The sequence below is a fragment of the Homo sapiens genome, chromosome 9 (assembly GCF_000001405.40).
Source record: "Homo sapiens chromosome 9, GRCh38.p14 Primary Assembly".
Lineage (NCBI taxonomy): Eukaryota > Metazoa > Chordata > Mammalia > Primates > Hominidae > Homo > Homo sapiens.
In genome coordinates, this window is record NC_000009.12 from 122,253,710 (window position 1) to 122,272,971 (window position 19,262).

The following is a 19,262-nucleotide window of genomic DNA, read 5'->3' on the forward strand; positions in this document are numbered from 1 at the left end:
AACCTATTCTTAAAAAAAAAAAAAAAAAAATCTAGGCCAGGCGCAGTGGCTCACGCCTGTAATCTCAGCACTTTGGGAGGCCGAGGTGGGTGGATTGCCTGAGGTCAGGACTTCGAGACCAGCCTGACTAACATGGTGAAACCCTGTCTCTACTAAAAATACAAAAAAATTAGCCAAGCATGGTGGCGCATGCCCGTAGTCCCAGCTACTCAGGAGGCTGAGGCAAGAGAATCACTTGAATCCGGGAGGCAGAGGTTGCAGTGAACCGAGATCGCACCACTGCACTCCAGCCTGGGCGACAGAGCAAGATTCCGTCTCAAAAAAAAAAAAGAAAAAAAACCCACAAAAACACACACACACAAAAAAAACAAAAAAGACAATCTAAGGCTACTGTGGGCTGGTCATCTTTTCATTAGCTCCATTCTGCTTAGAAGCAGGAAGGTAACACGATTGGCATTTCCTAAGAAATGAATTTTAATTTACTCAGAAAAAAAAAAACACACACACCAACAAAAGATTACTCTTTGTAAAGCTAACAAACACATTCTGCCCAAGAAGTGTGACCTTAAGATTCCAGGAACATCTGCTTAGGTTTGTGTCTTTCAACTTCTCCAGGATTTCTTTTCTTGTTTGATAATTTCTTAAAATTATCGGAACACTGAAACAAAAGGAATGAAATGTTTACTATTTTGCTTCCTGGAGATGGGGACTGCAGGCTCTGATAGTGAAAAAAGCCTGAAGGATCTTGCTTTCACATCTGCAAGCACTTTTATCTGCTGCTGAAGTGCGGGAGAGCACACTACTCAGCAGAGGCTTGCTTCACTTAATGAAATGTGCGCCCTGCAGCCTTCAGGAGCTGGAAAATTAGCACACCAGCCCCACACACATATCTGCAACTTAATCAGTGTTTTCTGTAATTGGTCTTTAAGACAGCTTTTCTGCCTAATGGCACAGAAATAATTAATCTATACACATGTTAAAATAGATACCTACAATGTGTCTAGAGCCAAGCAGGCTTATGGGCTATGCAGATGAATAAAACTAGGTTCCTGCCTTCAAGAACCTCACATTCTAGTTAAGACAGAGAGAGATGTAATCAAACAATTACAAAACAATGGGATGCTTGTACACAGAGGGATGAATACGAGCACACAGAATGAAGACCAATGGTACAAGGAAGGTGGTGGTTAAGGAGAGCTTTGTGAAAGGAGTGATATCTGACTGGGTTGTGTCAGTGTGAGTGAGTACTAAAGACAAAGGTGAAAAAGGGTCTGATCCATTGGAGTAGAGTGGGGGTAGCCAGTAAGATGGGGCTGAAAGGTAGGCAGAGGACAGGTTGTGAAGGATGTCGTAGGCTGAGGGAATTTTAATTTCGGGTTGTAGGCAATTGGAAGCCCATGAAATGACATTTAATATTATTTTTGATGCACAATTTGTTGTAGAGAAAATTTTCTTTATAAATGGATATAGAAATTACTATGAGATGGGTCTTTATGTTTTATGATAAGTACATTATTATATGGTCTTATTGTGCTTCCAATTTAAGTAACCAAACAGTGAAGGCTGTTTCATGTAAACCAAGACATAAAAAGAAGTATGGACAATGAGGAGACATAAGGTATGGACTGAGAGAGAAACAGGTTTCTTCGGGGGTGAACACACTGTTCTTGCATGCTCATGCATTTATTTTCCCTTGCATTCCAGCTTACCTAGTTTATCCCTGAAAGTCTGTACCAGGAGGACATTTCCACCTGGATGGCTCTCCACTGCTTTTAACTTTGCTTAACACACCCCAAACTGAATCCCTCCCTGCCACAAACTGATGATCCTTCCAGCTATCCCTCTGGTCAGGGGGAACAAGATCTTTTTATATTCCTCAGGCAAGAAACCTCAGGATCACCTCAACCTTCCACTCCATTTCAATCACTTTCCTCATCTCTCAGACTCACTCATCAGTCTCCAAGTTCACTGTCTCTATCTAGGTGATAATCGATGGCCAGACTGGTTCATGGCGATCTCTCTTAGCTAATCTTCATCTTCAATTTCTGCCCTTCATCCTGCATATCGATGTAAAATTTCTCTACTAACACATCATTGTCTAGCCTGGGCAATATAGTGAGACCTCGTCTCTACAAAAAAATTAGCTGAGTGTGGTGGCACATGCCTGTACTCCCAGCTACTCGGGAGGCTGAGGTGGGAGGATTGCCTGAGCTTGGGAGGCTGAGGTGGGAGGATTGCTTGAGGCTGGGAGGTGGAGGTTGCAGTGAGCTGAGATTGAGCCACTGCACCCCAGCCTGGGCAACAGAGTGAGACTCTGTCTCAAAAAGAAAACAACAACAACAACAACAACAACAACAAAAACCAAACCCACATCACTTTCATGATGTCAGCCTCCTGCTAAACACCCACAATGAGTTTCTTTTTCATGAAATTCAGGCTTGTCTGAATGAATTTTAAAGACCCTGTCTTAACCTGAGAGTATTCTATCTATGCAGCCACTATTTTCATTCCCATCCAGTATTCAAACTTTGCTTAAGTCAGAAAGATCTTCCTCATTTTCTACTTAACACATAACAATCTTTCTTATTAGTACTTATAGGCCTTTATTTACGATTTTCCCTCCACTCAGATTCCTCCTTCTATTAGCGTTTCTATGGGCTTTGTTCTCTTTCATACCTCTATATGCATAATACAGCGGCTACGACTTTGGCATTTTACACAGCACATCTAATACTTGTAAAAGAAAGTCGGTATTATCCCTTTTAGAAAGAAAACCACAGTGTAGAAAATAGATAATGTCTGAGGTCATTAAGTTTTTCAGCTTCTTTGTGGATGGCACTTATAATGATATTCAGAGGTATTGTTTATGCTTACAGTTAGATTGGGTCTCACAACCAAGAAAAAGAAAACCTTACATTTTAAGATTTAAAATAGGATACTTTTGGTTGTGACTGTTCAAAAATTAGAATATTTGTGCAAAAAAACACTAAATTAGGTGGTGGAAATTATCATTACTTCAGTATACTAAGCCAACTCACTTCACTCTTCATTTCCTATATAATAGGGAAAATAATATCTGTTCCACTTCCCTCACAAAGTTTTAAGGGGTTATGTAAGACAGACTCATGCAGTCTAGAGCTAGAAGTAATGCTCAGATCATTTAGCTGAACATTCTTATTCTATAGGTAAGAAATTATTACATATAATATAGTTGACAGGAATCAGAATATAGTGGAAAGAACATAAGTTTGGAATCTGCTAATTCCATAAACAAGAATGCATCATCACTCCCTCAAATCCTAATCTCCAAGATGTATTTAGTCATATAAATATTTCTGGCATCTAACATAGCCCTAAAATGGTCAGTATTTTTTTGCTGTTGTTGAGACAGCGTCTTGCTCTGTCGCCCAGGCTGGAGTGCAGCGGCGCGATCTCGGCTCACTGCAAGCTCCGCCTCCCAGGTTCATGCCATTCTCCTGCCTCAGCCTCCCGAGTAGCTGGGACTACAGGCACCATCCGCCTCCCGGGTTCACGCCATTCTCCTGCCTCAGCCTCCTGAGTAGCTGGGACTACAGGCACCCACCACCATGCCCAGCTAATTTTTTGTATTTCTTTTTTAGTTGAGACAGGGTTTCACTGTGTTAGCCGGGATGGTCTCGATCTCCTGACCTCGTGATCCGCCCGCCTCTGCCTCCCAAAGTGCTGGGATTACAGGCGTTGAACCCCACCGCGCCCAGCCAATGGTCAATATTACAACCACAGAGTGAACATAAACAAACAAGACGAGTAATATTAGAGTGCTAGACAGTCATAAACGCATATTCTGTTGGGAGGAGACTGATAGACATCCTAGTGTAACTTGAGCAGGACTCAGATTAATAACCAACAGGCACACACACATAGAATGACTAGAAATAATCACAGAATAGACTAAAAAACCAGGTGGAAAAGTGGTTATTTAAAAAAAATTGTCATTGTTTTACATATTCATTCATAACAGTAAGTTTATAATGTCTTCTAACAAGCGGTAAAAGAATATTTGAATGGGAGACGTATTCAAATCAGTTTATAAAAGAGATCAGGTGGACAGTAGGGACACATATAAGAAAGAGAGAGGTAAGAAGGGTCTGTTGAATGGGGAAGTGGTAGGAACTAGCAGCAATTTGTGGATAGAAGGTAGGTTTAAACAGGAAAGCTGGAGGATGCTCTGCAAATTTCTGTTAAGAGTCATTAGAAGTTTACAGATTTGGATTCAAGCAATACTTTTTGAGATTGCACCACAAGACAGGTACCATATATTCACATAAGTTACATTATGTAATCCTTCAATGTTTGGGAATTACTGCATTTTATAGTTCATCCAGGCTCACCATTACATGCCCTCAGAGGAACAAGATCCAGAAGTTTTTGTATTTCAAAAACATGGAAGGAAATCATCAATTTCTACAAGATAAGATTTACTTTACTAAAATGTCAGGTTCCTTTTAATTAAGTAAATTAAATGAGGTAATATTAATATTTCATGTTAACCATAAGCTATGATTGGTAGTTCTTTCTTTCTTTCTTTCTTTCTTTTTGAGACAGATTCTTGCTCTGTCGCCAAGGCTGGAGTGCAGTGGTGTGATCTCGGCTCACTGCAACCTCTGCCCTCCGGGTTCAAGTGATTCTCCTGCCTCAGCCTCCTGAGTAGTTAGGACTACAGGCAACCGCCACCACGCCTGGATAATTTTTGTATTTTTAGTAGAAATGGGGTTTCACCACATTGGCTAGGATGGTCTCGATTTCCTAACCTTGTGATTCACCCGCCTCGGCCTCCCAAAGTGCTGGGATTACAGGTGTGAACCACCGTGCTCAGTGGTAGTTATATCTTTAAGCATAAATTTATTACAATTTAATAAACCAGTCTGTTTGACAGATAAAATGTTTTAAGGTAAAGAATCCATAGGATGGCCAGGCATAGTGGCTCACGCCTGTAATCCCAACACTTTGGGAGGCTGATCAGGAGGATTGCTTAAGCCCAGGAGTTTGACAACAGCCTAGGAAACATACTGAGACCCCTGTCTCTACAAAACAAAAACAAAAAACAACAAACTAGCCAGGCATGGTGGCGAGCACCTGTAGTCCCAGCTACCCAGGAGTTCTAGGTTGCCATGAGCTATGATTGTGCCACTGTACTCAAGCCTGGGTGACAGAGCTGTCAAAAAAAAAAAAAAAAAAGAAGAAGAAGAAAAAAGAATCTATAGGAAAAAATAATAAAAATGGTCTTTTGTGATACAGAAGTGGAGAAGCCAGCCACAGGGAAAGCCCAGCACTTCCAGCCAGCATGCTCTGATCTAGTTTATTACTTGATGTCTACCTCTGGCCTGATGTAAAAAGAGCAGAGATATCAGTGGGAAAGTTCTGATTCAATGTTCCTGCCAATGTTCTAATTGAAAAAAACATCCACACACTCCAACTTATGACATAAACTGAGGTGGCAAATGCCCATTTGAACCTTCCCGTCAAGCAGCAGGACACAATTAGAACAAAAGTCTCATTACAGAGAAGTGCAGCCAACACAACCAACGCTGTTTCCACACTTTAGATTTCCATTTAGACAGGCAGAGGTGGGAATGGAAACCACTATGAGCATCCCCTCATAGCCTGGGTTTTGGATGATGGAAAAAATTTCTTTGATGAAGAGACATTAATTGAGAGGTTGGACAGATTCATATACTCACCCTCAAAAGCCATGAACCGTAAAAGAGAACTGAAATAAATGCAATCCACTCTAGGGTCCCTGTGACCAAGATAACATAATATGTGGGCAACACATCTTAAATACCGTCATAATTTCTAAGGGAACTGAATATATTTACATTTGGCTGATATGAGCTTGAGCAGGTTTAAGGAACTTTTTGTTATAATCCTGATTTATAAGGTTATATCCTTTTCTTCTCTTTCCTAATCTTAACTCTCATATATACCTTGTCTCATCTCATACTCAAAGAAGCAGGTTTCCTCATCTCCTCCCTTCACCTTTCGCCCAGGCTGGAGTGCAGTGGCACAATCTCCGTGCACTGCAACCTCCGCCTCCCAGGTTCAAGCAATTTTCGCGCCTCAACCTCCCAAGTAGCTGGGACTACAGGCATGCACCACCATGCCTGGCTAATTTTTTCATTTTTAGTAGAGACGGGGTTTCACCATGTTGGCCAGGCTGGTCTCAAACTCCTGACCTCAAGTGATTCGCCTGCCTCGTCCTCCCAAAGTGCTGGGATTATAGGCGTGAGCCACTGTGCCCGGCCTCCCCTTGTCTTTAACACTATTCTAAAGGGAGTAACTTCTAGGACTGATGATATGCTCAAAACTTGCTTTCTGCCTGGCATGGCGGCTTAAGTCTGTAATCCCAGCACTTTGGGAGGCCAAGGTGGGTGGATCATTTGAGGTAAGGAGTTCGAGATCAGCCTGGTCAACATGGTGAAACCCCATTTCTACTAAAAACACAAAAATCAGCCAGCATGGTGGCGCATGCCTGTAGTCCCAACTACTCGGGAGGCTGAGGCATGAGAATTGCTTAAGCCCAGGAGGTGGAGGTTGCAGTGAGCCAAGATTGTGCAACTACACTCCAGCCTGGGCAACAGAGCAAGACTGTCTTAAAAACAAAAACAAAAACAAACAAACAAACAAAAAAACTGGCTTTCAGCATTGACCTCATACAGGCCAATCCACTCATTGTACTCTGCCACCAACCACCACCCTCCCTCTATCAAATAACTGGCAGAAGGGAAAAACCTCTCAATTTTCTCAGCTAAGAAATTCCTTTTCATCTTAATGGCTGTGATGTAAAAGAGCAGGGAGTCAGGGCAATTCAATCAATTTCGTGAACTCGGGCAAGGTACTTCTGTCTTTCGGGACTTGGTTTCCTCTATGTAGGATAAAAAAGCTGGGTCCCATCAGAGGTTGTCAAGTGTGCTCTATGGAGCCCTGGAAGTTCTACAGAGCCTAAACAGGGATGGCCAAAGAAAGGGTAGTAGTTGACAAAAGATTTTGGTTCCATCTCTTCTCCCTTTTAGTCAGAGCAACTCTGAGCTCTTATTTTATATACAGCTCTGATTATTACTTTTACTCTAAGACAGGGTTCTTCAGATTTAAGAAGTCTGCAAACTGCTTAGCATGGCACTTGGCACTCAAATCATTTAATGAATGAATGAAAACCAAAGGGACATGATTTCTAAGGTTCCTTACAACTCTGACCTTCTATAGTTCTATGGCTGCTTAATATGAATTACAGTCAAGTGGTCTCCTCTGCCTGTTTGCAAAGGTACTGAGACTTCTGCTTGTTCCTTTATTCTGGGTACAAATGTATTCCCAAGGCTGATTCTAGAGAATAATTCCCTAGAGCTACTAGGTACAAGGATTCAAATAGTTGGAAATGGGAGAACGTCTTTGGCAGATAGGAAAAAAACAGGTATATGGATTAAAGGATACCCAAGTCTGTGTCCTTGCAGTAGCAGAGTCCAAATGTAAAAAAAGTGACAAGATAACAGGCTAACAACATCTTATCTCTCCGAAGACACGATGTAAGTAAAAGGGTCTAAGTATATCCCACACCCCTTGAAAATTCTTCTTGACATCATCACCACAAAACATCCCAATATTGTAGGTAAAAAACTAAGGTAACTTAGACTTACTCGGTAATTTTGGGGTCCAGGTTGCCAATCCATAATCGGTGTCCTTCCTGCAGAGAGCCCTCTGAAAGGATGGATGCATTCTCCAGGGGAAGAGTTTTGGTTTCTGCTTCCATCAATGTCTATGAAATACTAAAGGAAATGTGAACATTCAGGCAGGAGGGGAGTAACAATGTGTGAACACAAGACTTCAAATTCAACTCAACAAACATTTATTCAAGGAGGGCATGCCCTCTGGGCAGTCCTTCAAAGGCCTCAGTGATTCCACAACCAGGGCCCCAGAACCAGTTCCCTTGGGACAACTGCTCTGGCAGCCAGGGCACACAAGCTGCCATTTAAGGTGAAAGGGGCGTGGTTCTGTGTGGAGAAACTAAAGTTTTCCTCCTCTGAAGCCAGAGGCTGACTGGGCAGGAGGCCAAAGTCTCTATTACTACATGATACTTCAGTTCAACAACTGTCACCCAAAATAAGCCTTGGAAACCACCAGGAAGAGTCTTAATGGCATTAAAAGGGATGGGTAGGGAAGAGCAGCACTCCATCCCTTTTCCTCATGGAAGAGGCAATATAGCAAAGAGAAGAGGCAATATAGCAAAGAGAAGAGGCAATATAAGAAATCTGTGCGTAGACAGAACTGGGTTTGAAAGCAGGTTGTGTGACTTGATGAACTACCTGAACTTTCTAGGCCTCAGTTTCCTCATTATCTAGAGAGATAATAGTGCTTATTTTATAGAGTTGTTGTGAAGATTAAAGACAGTAAAAAAATCACTAAATACTGTATCTAACAACAGTAAGTAATCAATAAATACTAGCTATTATCATGCTTACTCTTTTGGGACAGACCAGGAAGAAGAGACTAATTTCCTCCTTAGTTATTCAAGTTCCACCATTTGCTAGCTATGTAGCCCTGTGCAAGTTACTTAACAGCTGTTGGCCTCAGTTCCCTCATCTGTAAAATGGGGATAATGCCTCATGAAATTACAGTGCAGATTCACTGAGTTAATACACCTAGAGCATTTAGAACCGTGCATGGCACCTAGGAAGCATTCAATTAATGTTAGCTTAAATTATTACTAGTCTTAGTTCCTGAAATGTCTCATCTCACAGCCAAGGAGAAAAGAGGATTATGATTATGATGGAGACAGCAGTAGAAAGAGCAGAAACCTTGGTGTCAGAAGACATTGTTTCAAATTGTGGCATTTCTTTCTTTCTCTTTTTTTTTGTTTTTGAGACAGACTCTCGCTCTGTTGCCCAGACTCATGGGCGGTGGCACGATCTCGGCTCACTACAACTTCCACTTCCCGGGTTCAAGCAATTCTCATGCCTCAGCCTCCCGAGTAGCTGGGATTACAGGTGCATGCCACTAAGCCTGTCTAATTTTTGTATTTTCTTGTAGAGGCAGGGTTTCACTATGTTGGCCAGGCTGGTCTCCAACTCCTGACCCCAAGTGATCCATCCACGTCGGCCTCTCAAAGTGCTGGGATTACAGGTGTGAGCCACCATGCCCAGCACAAACTGTGGCATTTCCACTGGAAGTTATTTCTTTCTGAGCTTCAGTTTACCCATCTTTAATAAATTTTGCCCTGTTTATAACTTAAGGCTTCGAGGACCAAAAATGAGACGACAGATGTGAAATAAAGCTTTAGGGGCTGGGAGGACAGCAGGCTGTGTCAGAGTTCAGAAGTCCCTGCTAGAGAACACATATCCTATACCCAGAAGTACCTCAGAGGTCAGCACTACAGGAACCATGGAGGCAGTCACAACAACTGCCATTACCTCTTAATCATCTCAGCACACCCTGTAAAGTCTAGCACAGCAGTCCCTAGGTAATTGTTTATTGAATACCCTGCACATGAGGGTATTTTTCTTCCTTTCCCATTCACATCTTTAATCTGTTCAGCAATGTAAGTCAAGCAACTAGGAACTGTTAAACTCTGGGCTATGTACTGAAATAGACAAATGAAAAAGCCACAGCTCTTGTTCTTACCTCCTGGGAGAAAGGTGAAACAGACATAAATTTAATCCCAGGGGAGACACATTTTTGTCTTCCCTCTGCTTTCCTTTCCCCCTACTTTTTAAACAAATCATTCATTCAAAAAATAAATTCACTGCTTCTATTATCTAGGACTTATCCAGTTACTGGAGTCAGAGCAGTGAACAAGCAAGGTCCCTATCCTCTGGATGCTTGTATTTGGAAGGGGAGCAGGACAAAACAAAAGCAAAATAAATAAAGAAGATATAATTAGTGATACATGCCACAAACACAATTAAGCAGGGTGATGTGACAGGGACTCGACGACTATAGATTGAGTGGAGGGAAGGCCTCTCTAAAGGAGATGACATTTGGGACTTGAATGATAGGACATTCTGATTTTCTCATGTCTAAAATCAGGAATAATACCAATAGCTATTAATATTTATTACCACGAAAAGGTACCATGTTTTACTGGTAAGAGTGCAGGCTATGCGGGTCTGGGTTCAAATCCTGACTTTTGCACCTAGTAACTGCACCTTTAGCAAGTCACATGACCTTTCTTTAAGCATCCTCTCGATAGAAAAGCTTTCCTAAACAGAGTTCCTTGTTATTCTATATCATAGCCACTTTTCCATCTTTTTCCTCCTACTAAATGCTAATTCAATGTATTACTTAATGTTTCCTCTTCTATTTCCTTCACTAGAACGTAAGCTCCCACAGCACAGGACCTTGCCAATCTTGATCACGGTTCTATTTCTAGCACTTAAGTACACTGCCTGTCTCACGGTTGGTGCTTAATATTTACTAAATGAAGCAAGCCGCTTCTCCACTCGAAGACTTAGTTTCTTTTTCCTTCCTAGAATGGGTACAATTTGTCGTCTCACGAGGTCGTTGTGAGTCTTAAATAAGACAATTTTGGTGACAGCTCAGAATATGGCTTTTTGAGGAAAGGTAAAGGGTAATAAAAGATCAAGACGGCACGGGACTATCAAAATGCTTTGCGTTTGCAATAGCAACAATCCTTTAGACTACCAGAGTTCACAAAACGCGGTTACATTTGTCTTTCCAGCTGAGCTGCAATAACTCTGGAAGCCAGAAATAGTCATCTGGGGAAAGTGCAATCCAGAGAAGAAGAGACACCTGATCCTAACAGCAAGCGGTGGGGTCATGCCTGGAACCCTGGCTTCCCGATTTCTGGCTGCGAATTCCTACAGGCGAAGGGTCATTACTCGGATTGTTATTTCCGGGCCAGCGACAGGACAATCCGGGGCGGGGCCTGAGATGCAGTCCTGCGAGGGCGGCCTCCTGTAAGACCTCTTAGCGGGCCCATCGCTGAGGTGCAGGGACATGTCGCGGCCGAACTCACCTCGTGGCCTCGGCGTGGTGCTCTCAGCTCATGCCCGGAAACCAGGTCCCGACGCCGCGGTCAGACGGACCTCTAGACGCGTCCGCCTCAATGCCGCCAGCTGCCAGGCCGCCCGTGACGCGTTAAGCCTGCGCCGCCTCCTGGCTTCGTGACGTCACGACGTCCGCGCAGCTGCGGTCGCCGCCGTCGCACGAGTCTTTCCTTAGTAACCTGGGCGATAGCTGGTGAGTGTCCTTGACAGGGCCTCGAGGGGCGCGTGTGGTCTGGGTGCCAGAGACCCTTACTCAGGGACCTCTGGGGGACCTCAGGGGACCAGACTACCGTCCCCGACCCGTTCGAGTCCAGCTTGACCTTTAAGGCTGAGGGCGGGACCTGTGGCATTGGAGCGAGTCTCATGGGGTGGGGGCGGGGCTCCTTTTACCAGCTAGGAATTTAGGGGATGCTGGAGGAACTTACTAAAGAGTAGCCGCACACTTGACGGGAACGTTTGAGTTTCAGAACAATCCCATAGGAGTAGATATTATTATCTCCCATAATGAAGAAACGGAAGCTCACATAGGTAATTTTACCAGGGTCACGCGGTCAGAAAGTGAGGGCGCTTAAATTCAGACCTAGGGCTATCCGACTCCTAAGCCTGGACTTTTAACCACCACTCTGTGCCACCCAGTGGCAAAACAGTTGTCATTTCAGTAGCCCTTCTCCATTTACTTAACCCTGACAAATAGTATTGTCATTTACGTTTTACAGATGAGACGGAAGTCCTGAGAGTTTGACCGATTTAAGGTCACGTGCCTAGGAAGTGCTGGAACCAAGACTCGGAGTTTTCTCTAAGTTTAGTGCCTTTATTTTGTTTTAAACCACACTGTTGCATTTCCCCCCATTTTGGAAAGCTTTATAGTTGGAAAGAATGAAAACCTGATCTGACCCCTTCATTTTATGGTTGAAACAAAATCTACGTAGGAGAAATCACTTGGTACAAGTCACAAGTCAGTGGTAGAGCTGCCGCAAATGCTTTTTGAATACGTGTGATTATGAATCTAAATGGCAGATGGCAGGGAGTGATAAGGTAGGCATACTGGAATCCAGATCTCTTAACTCTTAGGCAAAAGCCCTTTCTCTACCTGTTAAAGTGTCTCATTCCTTCTTTGGCCGTGCCAGGTGCATAATGATTCTGTGTATAGTCAGATACTACAAGTACCTTTCTTTACCTGGTACTGCATTTAGAGAAGAACATCATCTACTATCTCTAAGCAAAAATCTGGCAAACCAGAGACAGTGGAGGCAACGCTGGGAAGCCCAGAACCTACCATAATAGTAAGGGTAGATTCCCATCCGATTCTGGTTTACCCTGGATAAGGAATTTATCTTTCTGGACTTTCACTGATGTATTCATCACATTCACAGTGTCTTCTGTGTTCTGGCAATGTACCAGGTACTGGGGATACAGCAGTGAACAAGAAAATCATAGATTAGTCCTTGTAGTACTTAGAGTCATATGGAGGGAATTAGACAATCAAATAATTACACAAATGTTAGCTTGTATTGTTAAGAATTAAGTGCTATGATGAAGTAAAGGGTGCTATGAAAGCAGACTACAGGACACTTGACCTAGTTGGGCTGTAGGAGATGGCCAAGGAAGCCGTCCTCTGAGGAAGTGATGGTTAAGCTGAAATCTGAAATAAAAACGGAGACAAACAGTTAAAGAGGTGAGGGAAGATCATCAAGGAGATTCAATGGCATGTTTGAAGACCCTGGAGCAGGGGGAGCCCTGGAGAAGTGAAAGATCACTTTTCTTATTTTGCAAAATACGGGTGGTGATTATCACTCTTTAGTTATGAGAACCAGTTAAGATGGTACATGTGAAAGTATTTTATATGCAAGAGCCTGCGTATATGCACACTCATAGAAGTGCTTATGTTATAAGCTAGTATACAGCTGCATTGAAAAGAGTTGCTGGGACAGTAGATAAGCCAGGATTTTGGGTTGGTCATCTAGCCAAAATTAAAATGAACCTTCTGTGAAGAACAGGGAAATCGTTTGAGACCCTCAACTTTGGAAAAAGAATGTGTGCTTCAAGTAGTTTAAAAAAATATTTCAGTCTGTAATCTCAGCACATTGGGAGGCCCAGGCGGGCGGATCACGAGGTCAGGGGGTCGAGACCATCCTGGCTAACACGGTGAAACCCCGTCTACTAAAAATACAAAAATTAGCTGGGTGTGGTGGCGCACGCCTGTAATCCCAGCTATTTGGGAGGTTGAGTTAGGAGAATGGCTTGAACCCTGGAGGCGGAGGTTGCAGTGAGCCAAGATTGCGCCACTGCACTCCAGCCTGGGCGACAGAGTGAGACTCCGTCTCAAAAAAAAAAAAAAAGAAAAAAAATTCAGGCCGGCGCAGTGGCTCACGCCGGTAATCCCAGCACTTTGGGAGGCCGAGGCGGGCAGATCACCTGAGGTAAGGAGTTTGAGACCAGCCTGGCCAACATGGTGAAACCCCATCTCTACTTAAAATATATAAAAGTTAACTGGGTGTGGTGGTGGGTGCCTGTAGTCCCACCTACTCAGGAGGCTGAGGCAGGAGAATCCCCTGAACCTGGAAGGCATAGGTTGCAGTGAGCTGAGAACGTGCCACTGCTCTCCAGCCTGGGCAACAGAGTGAGACTCTGTCTCAAAAAAAAAAAAAAAAAAATTTAATAGTTGGGATGCTATTATAATAGCTACAATTTATTGTGTACCTACTGGATGCCAGGCATTGTACTGTGTGTATGTGTTTTGTTAAGTGACTAGGTCTCACTATATTGCCAAGGCTGGCCTTGGACTCCTGGCCTGAAGTGATCCTCCTTCCTTAGCATCCCAAGTAACTGGGACTATAGGCACCCATCACTGTTCCCAGCCATGCTGAGTGTTCTATATGCATTGTATAGCAGTTAATAACATAGACTCTAGAGCTAGATTGACTGAATTCAAATCTTGGGCAGATTTTTGCTTCTGTTTTCTTATCTGTAAAGTGGGAATAATCATAGTACTTACTTCAGGGTTATCATGAGGCTGAAATGAGTTCATGTGCATAAACCACTTAGAATAGTTTCTGTCACGTAGTCATTGTTATATAAATGTTAGGTATTGTCATTATTGTTATCTTTTAAAGTCTCATTAATATCACTATGATGATGATGTGGAAGCTGTAGCTCAGAGAGGCTAAATGACCTCCCCAAGGTCACACAGCTAGTAAGTGGGGGAATTGAGATTCCAGTTCCAGACTGCGTCCAAAGCTCAGACACTTCCCCACATTGCTTCTATGTATAGGTTAATTTTGTTGGCTCATACTTGGGATCTCAACAAATTTTTCTTCAACTTTAATTCTTTATCTGTGCTGAACTGAATGTTAATTTGTATACCCTTAAGGTAAAGGACCTAAAGGACTGCTTTTATTGAACTTCCACTTTGAAATTTCTTGACTTCTGTGCAATTAAAATCTACGCCTTAAGCATTTCAGCGATGTGGTTTATTTATAGAGTTGTCTTCCGGTTCACGTGTACTGGGTCTGCTTTTGGGTGCTGCGTTTTCTGTCAAAGGTTGTTTATTTCTAACCCATTTTGATTTCCTGTTGCTTTGTGAGTTGGTATTATGACCTGCAACAGGAATACCAGGAAACCTGTCTTAAATGGAGCAGCCAGATTGAGACCCTGTAGACTAAAATAAAATCTACTCATTATTCTACAGCCATATTTGGTTATAAGTATGAGTTAGGCATTGGTTTTATTAGGGAAAAACCTAGATATAGAAACTTCACTCTGAGCCAAACCTCTGTGAACAGTTCTGCTAAAATAGAGCTTGGCTATTAGCTCCATGTCCTTGGACAGTGACTTAATCTCTCTGAACCTCAGTTTCAGCATCTGTAAAATGGGGATTATTATACGTTCTTTGTGGCATTATTGAGAGAATTAAATGAAATAGTATGGTTAAAGCAAACAGTCCAAACTTGACCTCAATTAATAGTAGCTATTGATACTAGTAAAGAAGAAAAATATTCCCTTTTTTCATCAAATCTGGTTTTATAGACTTCATACACTGATCACTAACTTCTAGTATCCCTTACTGTTAAAAATTCCATCGCGAGAAATGATTTGCCTTTGTGCTACTCATTTGCTTTAAAAATAATATCCATCATTAGGCCGGGTGCGGTGGCTCACGCCTGTAATCCTAGCACTTTGGGAGGCCGAGGTGGGTGGATCACGAGGTCAGGAGATCGAGACCAACCTGGCTAACAAGGTGAAACCCCGTCTCTACTAAAAAATACAAAAAATTAGCCGGGCGTGGTGGCAGGCGCCTGTAGTCCCAGCTACTTGGGAGGCTGAGGCAGTAGAATGGCGTGTACCCGGGAGGCGGAGCTTGCAGTGAGCCGAGATCGTGCCACTGCACTCCAGCCTGGGCGACAGAGTGAGACTCTGTCTCAAAAAAAAAAAAAATAATAATAATAATAGCCATCATTCATTAAGCTGCTATATTCCTGGCACTATGTTAGTTGTTTACATGTATTCATTATTAAATTTTATTTTAAGTTCAAGGTTATTTTTATCATTGATGAGGAAAGTGATGCTCAGAAAAGAAGAGTAAATTGCCTAAAGTTGAAATTTACATCCAGGTCTGACTGATTGTAGGCTATTTTGTACATCATTAATAACATACAAGGTTTCTTTATTGTGTCTGACCCTGGCATAAAAGTTTTAGAGGCCGGGCATGGTGGCTCACACCTGTAATCCTAGCACTTTGGGAGGCCAAGGCAGGTGGATTGCCTGAGCCCAGGAGTTCAAGACCAGCCTGGGCAACATGGTGAAACCCTGTCTCTACTAAAAATACAAAAAAATTCGCTGGGCATGGTGGCATGTGCCTGTAATCCCAGCTACTTGGGAGGCTGAGGCATGAGAATTGCTTGAACCTGGGAGTGGAGGTTGCTGTGAGCCAAGATCGTGCCACTGTACTCCATCCTGGGCAACAGAGTGTGACTCAGTCTCAAAAGATAATAAAGATAATATTTTTTTAAAAGTTTGAAAAAAAAGGTGATAGCTATCAACAGGTATTATTTTGGGGGGCTCCTGCTGTTTGCTAAGTACTGTGTCAAGGGCTTTACTTGCATAACCTCATTAATTATTCCTAACCCTAAGAAATGAGTACAATTATTCCCATTTTATAGTTGAAGAAATCAAGGAGCAGAAATATTCAGGAATATTTAGTCAGTAATGGAGCTAGGATTGGCTTCCAGGTCTTCCTGACGGCAAAGCCCATGTTATTCATTCCATTGTGTTGGATCAAAATTTTAGGATGGGATTTAAAAAAAAAAATAAGGTGTGGGACTGTTACTCAAAGGAAACAGCTTCCAGGTATTTGATACTAATTGTTCTTAATTTTTACCTGAGCCATAGCAACATTACTGGCAGAAGCTATCAATGATATATTTGTCAGTTAGCTAGGGCTGTGTTCTATCCTGAGGTAGTTGTAGGCGATGGCATCTTTCCATGGTCAAAGACCTCAGATGTAGAATGCGTAACTTGTGTTAACACAGGAGAGGGTGGCATGTTCCAGAGCTCTAGTTCTATACCATGGAAGACCTCAAACCTCAATCATGCTTTAGACTCACATTAAAGGGCATCCTAATTGGTAATCAGTGCATAAGGAACCAAATAAAATTTTAATTAAATGCTGTCGTGTGAATTTTCCAGTCATTTTATGCCTGTTGAGACGGTTTTCTTATTTAAAGTCCTCTTCTAGTGCTCTGCCTTCCCTCTTTAAACTTTATCAAGATTTTGTGCTTTTTCTCATGTAAGGGTTTAATTAGCATCATTAAAGTTTTAGTCTGCTGCATATTTGCTTAATGGGCATTTTGGTGCAGTGGAAAGAGCTTGGGGTTTGGAGTCCAAAGTGGGGAAGTTCCTTAAATCTCTGTGAGCCTTAGTTTCTTCATTCTGTAAAATGAGGCAAATAATATTTTCTTCTAGGGCTGTTGGGAAAAGGATTAGAGATAATGTATTTAAATTGTCTAGTACTTAGCTCAGTTTATAGGAGTTGCTTGATAATTGGTACGAATTACCTGAAGTTGCAAGCTTTGTACTTAGATCTTTTACTTAGATCTGCTTTTTGTCTTATTCTTTTTAGTGGATGTTTCCAAGGATTGTCTTCAGTCATGGCCTTGGGATTAAAGTGCTTCCGCATGGTCCACCCTACCTTTCGCAATTATCTTGCAGCCTCTATCAGACCCGTTTCAGAAGTTACACTGAAGACAGTGCATGAAAGACAACATGGCCATAGGCAATACATGGCCTATTCAGCTGTACCAGTCCGCCATTTTGCTACCAAGAAAGCCAAAGGTAGAGACATGTGACGTTCTCTCCTACTTCACCCCTTTCTTATAGTTGGCCCTTGAATTATAGCTGGCAGGTATCTCAGATGTACTGAATTTCTCCCCTTGCTAACATGAGGAAATGGTGCCTCAGCTATTTCATTGGATTAGCTTAAAAGGTTACAGTGGCAGAGATGGTGTTATAACCCAGTGCCTGTTTTCTCATTACCATGCTGCCTCATTTGTTTTCTTGGTAGCTCAGAAAATGCCTAATTTCTTTCTTTTAGATTTAGAATTAAAGGTTTAAGTGCCAAGCAAGCCAGAATGCTTGTAGCAGGGATCAATATATTGTCTCCTTATAGGAAGATGCATGTTGGAAGTATAATTAAGACCAGAAGGTGGTTGGGTGAAGTGGGTATTAGAGCCATGGATTTAGATGGATGATCTTAATGGCTTGTGTCATCCAGGAATGAGACTCTGATGTACTGCAGGTCTCAGCTTAAATGCTACTTCCTCTGGGAAGCCTTTCCTGACCTCTTAGACTAGGTCAAGTCCCCTGTTGCCTGCACTCGTGCATTCTGTTATTTTGCCTTTGATGCACTTAGAACAGCAGTGATTAATTAATTAAATGTAAGATTGATTATCGTTTATCTGTCTTCTATGCTGGACCTGATGAAGGTAGGTTCTATATTGTTCTTATTTAGCACCTAACAGGGCCTGGATTTAGTATGTATTGACAAATTTTGTTGAATGAAAGAATGAGTGATAGAAAATTGTCAGTCACACCAGCAATTTGCAGTGGTGGATCAGGGAGTCCTCCCCCAAGAATGGCGCTAGATATATGCTGCTGAATATTTTCCCACTGACTTTCCTTTTCTAATTTCATGCAGACCTTCCCCTTTCTGTAATAGGAAAATTAACAAATTACTGGAAGAACAGTAATGCTTAGAAGAGTTATATTCTGTTAATAGTGTTAATAGTAATAACCTTTGATCTGTATGTAGCATTATATTTTTTAAAGTTTCTATACATTTACTAATTTTATTCTTATAATTATCCATTGAAGGAATTATAATTTTCCATTGAAGAAATCCTTATAATTATCTAGTTAATCCAGATCTCACCATTTTATAAACGAAGAAACTGAGATAGTTTGTGAGAAATTTGCCCATGTTCCTATATAGTTAATGGCAGAACCAGAAACTTGAGTTCCTGATGCCTACAGTACTGCAGTCTTCTAGTGTAATAGACAGTTACAGTGCATAAGCAGCATTTTTTCATATTTTGTGGGCTATTCAGTTTTGTCTTCTTTGATTGCCTCTTTAAAAGTTGGTTTAGCCGAGTGCTGTGGCTCACACCTGTAATCCCAGCTACTCAGGAGGCTGAGGTGAGGGGATTGCTTGAGGCCAGGAGTTTGAGATTAGCCTGGGCAATATAATGAGACCTTGCCTCTTAAAAAAAAAAAAAAATTGCTGGGCCTGGTGGCCTGTACCTGTAATCCCAGCTACTCAGGAGGCTGAAGTGGAAGGATGGCTTGAGGTGAGGAGTTTGAGGCTGCAGAAGTTGGTTGTTTGACTTTTTCTTTTAGATTTATTCGATTCTTTCATATTAGGGATGCTCATTCTTTGTCCATATGTTCCAAGTGTCTTCTTTGCTTTTTACTTTATGATGTTTTTGTTGAACATGGGTTTTAATGTCATATTTTTTAGTCCTTTATTAATTGTGTCTTCTTTAAGAAATACCCGTCTATTGCAAGGTAATTTATTTCTGAATATAATGTGAGGTAATTTTTAAAGTTTCCTTTCCAGATGGATAAGAAGTTGTGTCAAAATCATTTATTGATTAGCCTACTCTTTACTCCCAGATTTGTAATGCCCCGCCCCATTGTGTGAGTTTCTGTATATATATGGCATTGTGTCTGAGC

The 19,262-nt window shown here is 42.0% G+C and overlaps 2 protein-coding genes across 19 annotated transcripts in view, besides 5 other annotated features; one reads left to right on the forward strand and one right to left on the reverse strand.

Annotated features, from left to right (window-relative positions):
• RBM18 (RNA binding motif protein 18) overlaps positions 1 to 11,131 on the reverse strand; it is a 27,219-nt gene extending 16,088 nt beyond the window's left edge. For 2 of the 3 annotated variants that reach the window (NR_027125.2, NM_033117.4), the window contains exons 1-2: positions 11,006 to 11,131; positions 7,671 to 7,799 (exon numbers count right to left, since the gene is read on the reverse strand). Coding sequence is in view for 1 of the 3 variants with exons in the window: in NM_033117.4 (NP_149108.1) it covers positions 7,671 to 7,783 (113 nt within the window). In the remaining 2 variants the exon portion in view is untranslated. Of the gene's footprint in view, positions 1 to 564; positions 659 to 7,670; positions 7,800 to 11,005 lie in introns of all 3 variants that reach the window. The other variant, NR_027126.2, reaches the window with a different exon arrangement.
• Positions 10,313 to 11,284: an enhancer, noted in NCBI's record as "OCT4-NANOG-H3K27ac-H3K4me1 hESC enhancer chr9:125026301-125027272 (GRCh37/hg19 assembly coordinates)". NCBI's record gives its function as "activates a minimal SCP1, AML or CMV promoter by ChIP-STARR-seq in primed H9 embryonic stem cells {active_cell/tissue: H9 hESC(primed)}" and the evidence as "EXISTENCE:reporter gene assay evidence [ECO:0000049][PMID:30033119]".
• Positions 10,313 to 12,255: a biological region, named in NCBI's record as "BRD4-independent group 4 enhancer GRCh37_chr9:125026651-125027850".
• Positions 10,663 to 11,862: an enhancer, noted in NCBI's record as "BRD4-independent group 4 enhancer chr9:125026651-125027850 (GRCh37/hg19 assembly coordinates)". NCBI's record gives its function as "activates an origin of replication core promoter dependent on BRD2, P300/CBP, MED14 and CDK7 cofactors, and independent of BRD4, by STARR-seq in HCT116 cells {active_cell/tissue: HCT116}" and the evidence as "EXISTENCE:reporter gene assay evidence [ECO:0000049][PMID:35650434]".
• MRRF (mitochondrial ribosome recycling factor) overlaps positions 11,173 to 19,262 on the forward strand; it is a 66,456-nt gene continuing 58,366 nt past the window's right edge. For 7 of the 16 annotated variants that reach the window (NR_144421.2, XR_007061374.1, NM_138777.5 and 4 more), the window contains exons 1-2: positions 11,173 to 11,229; positions 17,155 to 17,366. Coding sequence is in view for 11 of the 16 variants with exons in the window: in NM_138777.5 (NP_620132.1) it covers positions 17,183 to 17,366 (184 nt within the window). In the remaining 5 variants the exon portion in view is untranslated. Of the gene's footprint in view, positions 11,565 to 11,752; positions 12,072 to 17,154; positions 17,367 to 19,262 lie in introns of all 16 variants that reach the window. The other 9 variants (XR_007061373.1, XR_007061372.1, NM_001346339.2 and 6 more) reach the window with 5 other exon arrangements.
• Positions 11,285 to 12,255: an enhancer, noted in NCBI's record as "NANOG-H3K27ac-H3K4me1 hESC enhancer chr9:125027273-125028243 (GRCh37/hg19 assembly coordinates)". NCBI's record gives its function as "activates a minimal SCP1, AML or CMV promoter by ChIP-STARR-seq in primed H9 embryonic stem cells {active_cell/tissue: H9 hESC(primed)}" and the evidence as "EXISTENCE:reporter gene assay evidence [ECO:0000049][PMID:30033119]".
• Positions 11,431 to 11,590: an enhancer, noted in NCBI's record as "active region_28927". NCBI's record gives its function as "activates an Ori minimal core promoter by ATAC-STARR-seq in GM12878 lymphoblastoid cells {active_cell/tissue: GM12878}" and the evidence as "EXISTENCE:reporter gene assay evidence [ECO:0000049][PMID:35858748]".